Source organism: Homo sapiens, chromosome X (genome assembly GCF_000001405.40).
Source record: "Homo sapiens chromosome X, GRCh38.p14 Primary Assembly".
Classification (NCBI taxonomy): domain Eukaryota; kingdom Metazoa; phylum Chordata; class Mammalia; order Primates; family Hominidae; genus Homo; species Homo sapiens.
In genome coordinates, this window is record NC_000023.11 from 30794952 (window position 1) to 30800910 (window position 5959).

Here is a 5959-nt window from a genome sequence, read left to right on the forward strand (position 1 = left end):
TGCCTTACCTTGTGCCTCATTTGGCTTGCCTTGCCTTGGGCTCTGCCTTTCTGTGTCTTGCTCTTTGCTTTGTTTTGACGTGCCTTGCCTTGTGCCTTGCCTTGCCTTGCTCTTTGCTTTGCCTTGCCATTCCCTTGCTCCGTGCCTTGCCTTTTGCCTTCACTTGCCTTGCTTTGTGCCTTGCGTTGCCTTGCCTTGCTTGGTGCCTTGACTTGCCTTGTGTCTTGAGTTCCCTTGGCTTGCCTTTTGTTTGCCTTGCCTTGTCCTTGCCTTGCCTGGCTTTGGCTTGCCTTGTGCCTTGCCTTGCCTTCCCTTTTGCTTTGACTTGCCTTGCCTTGAGCCTTGCCTTGCCTTGCCTTGCCTTGCGCCTTGCCTTGCTTGCCTTGTGCCTTGCCTTGCCTTGCCTGGTGCCTTGCTTTGTGCCTTGTCTTGCCTGATGCCTTTACTTGCCTTGTGCCTTGCGTTGCCTTGTGCCTTGGCTTGCCTTGCCTTGCTTTACCCTGCACTTTGCATTGCCTTGCTTTGCCTTGTGCCTTGCCTTGCTTTGCCTTGTGCCTTGCCTTGCCTTGCTTTGTGCCTTGCCTTGCCTTGCTTTGCTTTGTGCCTTGCCTTGCCTTGTGCCTTGCCTTGCCTTGTGCCATGCCTTGCCTTGTGCCGTGTCTTGCCTTGCTTTCTGCCTTGCCTTGCCTTGCCTTGCCTTCTGCCTTTTTTTGCTTTTCCTTGCTTTTCCTTGCCATGCCTTGTGCCTTGCCTTGCCTTGCTTTGCCTTGCCTTGTGCCTTGCCTTGCCTTGACTTGTGCGTTGATTTGCCTTGCCTTGTTACTTGCCTTCCCTTGGCTTGTGGCTTGTCTTGCCTTGCCTTGTGCCTTGCTTGTGCCTTGGTCTCCCTTACCTTGTGCCTTATCTTGTCTTGCCTTGTCTTGCCTTGCCTTGTATCTTGCATTGCCTTGCCTTGTGCCTTACCTTGTGCCTTCCCTTCCCTTGCCTTGCCTTGTGCCTTCCCTTGGCTTGCCTTGTAACTTGCCTTGCCTTATGCCTTGCCTTGCCTTATTCCTTGTCTTGCCATGCCTTGCCTTGCTTTGCCTTTTGCCTTGCCTTGCCTTGCATTGTGCCTTGCCTTGCCTTGCCTTGCCTTGTGCCTTGCCTTGCCTTGCCTTGCCTCGTGCCTTGCTTTGGCTTGCCTTGACTTGGGTCTTGCCTTGCCTTGCCTTGATTTTTGCTTTGCCTTGCCATTTCCTTGCAGCTTGCCTGGACTTGCCTTGTCCCTTGTCCCTTGCCTTGCCTTTTGCCTTCACTTGCCTTGCTTTGTGCTTTGCTTTGCCTGGTGCCTTGACTTGACTTGTGCCTTGCCTTCCCTTCACTTGCCTTTTGCTTGCGTTGCCTTGTGCCTTGCCTTGCCTTGGCCTTGCCTTGCCTGGCTTTGCCTTGCCTTGTGGCTTGCCTTGTCTTGCCTTGCCTTGTGCCTTGCCATGTGCTTTCCCTTGCCTTGCCTTGCCATGTGCCTTGCGTTACCTTTGCTTGTGCCTTGCCTTGCCTTCTGCCTTGCCTTGCCATGCTTTGTCTTGCCTTTTCTAGTCTTGCCTTGTGCCTTGCTTTGCCTTGCTTTGTAGCTTTCCTTGTGCCTTGGCTTGCCTTGTGCTTTGCATTGCCTTGCCTTACCCTGTGCCTTGCCTTTTGCCTTGCCTTGCCTTGTGTTGCTTTGTGCCCTGCCTTGTGTTGCTTTGTGCCTGCCTTGCCTTACCTTGTGCCTTCCCTTGCCTTGCTTTGTGCTTTGCCTTGCCTTTTGCCTTGCTTTGTGCCTTGGCTTGCCTTCTGCCTTGCCTTGCGCCTTGCCTTGCGCCTTGCTTTGCTTTGCCTTGTCATGCCTTGTGCCTTGCCTTCCCTTCTGCCTTGTCTTGCATTGCTTTGCCTTGCCTTGTACTTTGCTTTGTGCCTTGCCTTGCCTTGCCTTGCCTTGACTTGCACGTTGATTTTCCTTACCTTGTTACTTGACTTCCCTTGGCTTGTGCCTTGCCTTCCCTTGTGCCTTGCCTTGCCGTGTGCCTTGGTTTGCTTTCCCTTGTGCCTTGCCTTGGCCTTGTTTTCCTTGGCTTTTCTTTGCCTTGTGCCTTGCCTTGCCTTGCCTTGCACCTTGCCTGTGGCTTGCATTGCCTTGCCTTTTGCCTTGCTTTGCCTTGTTTTGTGCCTTGATTTGCCTTGCCTTGCCTTGGCTTGTGCCTTGCCTTGTAACTTGCCTTGTGCCTTCCCTTGTTATGTGTTGTCTCTCCTTTCCTTTCCTGGCCTTGTTTTGCCTTGTGCCTTGCCTTGCCTTGCCTTGCTTGTGCCTTGCCTTGTGCCTTGTCTTGCCTTGCCTTGTGCCTTGTGTCTTGCCATGCCTTGTCCTGCCTTCCCTTGACTTGCCTTGCCTTGCTTTGCCTTGCACTTTGCATTGCCTTGCCTTGCCTTGCCTTGTGCCTTGCCTTGCCTTGCCTTGCACTTTGCATTGCCTTGCCTTGCCTTGCCTTGTGCCTTGCCTTGCCTTGCTTCCTGCCTTGCTTTGTCTTGTGCCTTACTTTGCTTTGTGCCTTGCCTTGCTGTGCCTCGCTTTCTGCATTGCCTTGACTTGCCTTGCCTTGTGCCTTGCCTTGCCTTGCTTTTTGCTTTGCCTTGCCATTCCCTTGTGCTTTGCCTTGACTTGCACCTTGCCTTGCCTTTTGCCTTCACTTGCCTTGCTTTGTGCCTTGCCTGCCTTGTGTTGCCTGGTGCCTTAACTTGCTTTGTGCCTTGCCTTCCCTTCCCTTCATTTGTCTTTTGCTTGCCTTGTCTTTCCTTTTGCCTAGCCTTGCCTTGCCTGGCTTTGCCTAGCCTTTTGCCTTGCCTTGACTTGACTTGTGTCTTGCCTTGTCTTGCCTTGCGCCTTGCATTGCCTTGCATTATGCCTTGCCTTGCTTCCTGTCTTGCTTTGCCTTGTGCTTTACCTTGCTTTGTGCCTTGCCTTTTCTTGTGCCTTACCTTGCTTCCTGCCTTGCTTTGCCTTGTGCCTTACCTTGCTTTGTGCCTCGCCTTTCCTTCTGCCTTGCCTTGTGCCTTGCCTTGCTGTGCCTCACTTTCTGCCTTGCCTTGACTTGTGCCTTGCCTTGCCTTGCTTTTTGCTTTGCCTTGCCATTCCCTTGTGCCTTGACTTGACTAGACTTGCACCTTGCCTTGCCTTGCCTTGCCTTGTGCCTTGCCTTGCCTTTTGCCTTCGCTTGGCTTGCCTTGCCTTGCCTTCCGTTGCCTGGTGCCTTAACTTGCCTTGTGCCTTGCTTTCCCCTCACTTGTCTTTTGCTTGCCTTGCCTTTCCTTGTGCCTAGCCTTGCTTGGCCTTGCCTTGCCTGGCTTGGCTTTGCCTTGCCTTGTCTCGCCTTGCCTTACGCTTTGCATTGCCTTGCCTTGTGCCTTGCCTTCTGCTTTTCCTTGCCTTGCCCTGTGCCTTCATTTGCCTTGCCTTGTTCTTTGCCTTGGCTTGTGCCTTGCCTTGCCTTATGCCTTGCCTTGTTTTCTGTCTTGGTTTGCCTTGTGCCTTGCCTTGCCTTGCTTTGCCTTGTGTCTTGCCTTGTTTTGCCTTGTGCTTTGCCTTGCCTTGCCTTGCCTTGCCTTGCTTGTGCATTGCCTTGCCTTGCTTGTGCGTTGCCTTGCCTTGCCTTTCTTGTGCCTTGCCTTGCCTTGTTCCTTGTCTTGTTCTGTGCCTTACCTTGCTGTGCCTTTTGCCTTGCTTTGGCTTGCCTTGATTTGGGCCTTGCCTTGGTATGCCTTGCTTTCTGCCTTGTCTTGACTTACCTTGCCTTGTGCCTTGCCTTGCCTTGTCTGTGCTTTGCCTTGCCTTGCCTTGCCTTGCCTTCCTTTGTGCCTAGCCTTGCCTTGCCTTGTGCCTTGCCTTGCCTAGCCTTGCCTTGCTCCTTATGTTGCCTTGCATAGAGCCTCACTTTGCCTTGCCTTGTGCCTTACCTTATGCCTTACCGTGTTCCTTGCCTTGCCTTGCCTCGGCTTGTCCTTGCCTTGCCTTGCCTTGGCTTGTTCCTTGTCTTGACTTGCCTTCTGAATTGTAATGCCTTGTGCCTTGCCTTGCCTTGTTCTTTGCCTTACCTTGCTTTGTGCCTTACCTTGCCTTGCCTTGCCTTGTCTTGAGCCTTGCCTTGCCTTGTCCCTTCCCTTGCCTTGTCCCTTCCCTTGCCTTGTGCTATGCGTTGCCTTTCCTGGCCTTGGCTTGTGCTTTGCCTTGTCTTATAGTGCTTTGCCTTGCCTTGCCTTCTGAATTGTGATGCCTTCCTTTGTGCCTTGCCTTGCCTTGCCTTCTGAATTGTGATGCCTTCCTTTGTGCCTTGCCTTGCCTTGTACCTTTTCTTGCCTTGCATTGCCTCCTGCCTTGCCTTGTCTTGTTTCTTGCCTTGCCTTGCTTTCTCTCTTGCCTTGACTTGCCTTGCCTTGTGCCTTGCCTTGTTTTTCCTTGCTTTGTATATTGCTTTGCATTGGCTTTGCCTTGCCTTTTGCCTTGCCTTGCCTTTTGCGTTGCCTTGCCTTGCCTTGCCCTGCCTCCCCTTACCTTGCCCTGCCTCGCCTTGCCTTGCATTTCCTTGCCTTGTGTCTGGTGCCTTGTTTGCCTGGCTTTGTGCCTTGCCTTCCCTTGTGTCTTGCCTTCCCTGGTGTCTTGCCTTGACTTGCCTTGTTTTGCTTTGCCTGGCTTTGTCTTGCCTTGCCTTGTGCCTTGTTTTGCCTTGCTTTGTGCCTTGTTTTGCCTTGCTTTGTGCCTTGTTTTGCCTTGTGCCTTGCCTTGGCCTGACTTTCCTTGTGCCCTGCCTTGACTTGCCTTGCTTTGCCTTGCCATGTTCTGTGCTTGGCCTTGCCCTTTGCCTTGCTTTCCCTTGCCTTGCCATGCCTTGCACCTTGCCATTCCTTGCAATGCCTTGTCTTACCTTGACTTGCCTTGTGCCTTACCTTGTGCCTTGTCTTGCTGTGCCTTTTTTTTTTTTTTTTTTTGAGGCAGAGTCTCGCTCTTTCGCCCAGGCTGGAGTGCAGTGGCGTGATCTTGGCTCTCTTTAAGCTCCGCCTGCCGGGTTCATACCATTCTCCTGCCTCAGCCTCCCAAGTAGCTGGGACTACAGGTGCCCGCCACCACGCCCAGCTAATTTTTTTGCATTTTTTAGTAGAGATGGGGTTTCACCGTGTTAGCCAGGATGGCCATGCCTTTTTAGTGTCTTGCCTTTCTTGCCTTGCTTTCTCTTGCCTTATGCCTTGAATTGACTTGCCTTGCCTTGCCTTATGCCTAGCCTTTTCTTGCCCTGTGACTTGCCTTGCCTTGTCTTGCATTGTGCCTTGCTGTGCCTTGCCATGCCTTATGTCTAGACCTGCCTTGCCTTGTGCCTTTCCTTGCCTTGTGTCTTCCCTTGCCTTGCCTTGTGTCTTCCCTTGCCTTGCACCTTGCCTTGCCATGCCTTGTGCCTTGTTTTGCCTTGTGCCTTGTCTTCTGCCTTGCCTTACCTTGCCTTTTGCCTTCCTTGCAATGCCTTCTGCCTTGTCTTGCCTTGAGTGTTGCCTTGCCTTTCCTTGCCTTGTGCCTTCCCTAGACTTTCTTTGTGCCTTGACTTGTACCTTGTTTTTCATTGCCATGCCTTGAGCCTTCCCTAGACTTTCTTTGTGCCTTGACTTTTACCTTGTTTTTCATTGCCATGCCTTGCCGTACCTTGCCTTGTGCCTTGCCATGACTTGCCTTGTGCCTTGCCATGACTTGTCTTGCCTTTGCTTTGCATTGCCTTGCCTTTGCTTTGCATTGCCTTGCCTTGTGCCTTGCCTTGCCTTTCTTTGTGCCCATTCTTGCCTTGCCTTCTGCCTTGCCTTGTGTTTTGCCTTGCCTTGTGCCTTGCCTTGCTTATGCCTTACCTTGCTTTGTGCCTAACCTTGCCTTCCCTTTTCTAGTGTCTTGCCTTGTGCCTTGCCATGCCTC

At 52.3% G+C, this 5959-nt stretch overlaps 1 annotated feature.

Moving 5' to 3' along the window:
* Positions 227 to 786: an enhancer, noted in NCBI's record as "H3K27ac-H3K4me1 hESC enhancer chrX:30813295-30813854 (GRCh37/hg19 assembly coordinates)". NCBI's record gives its function as "activates a minimal SCP1, AML or CMV promoter by ChIP-STARR-seq in naive H9 embryonic stem cells {active_cell/tissue: H9 hESC(naive)}" and the evidence as "EXISTENCE:reporter gene assay evidence [ECO:0000049][PMID:30033119]".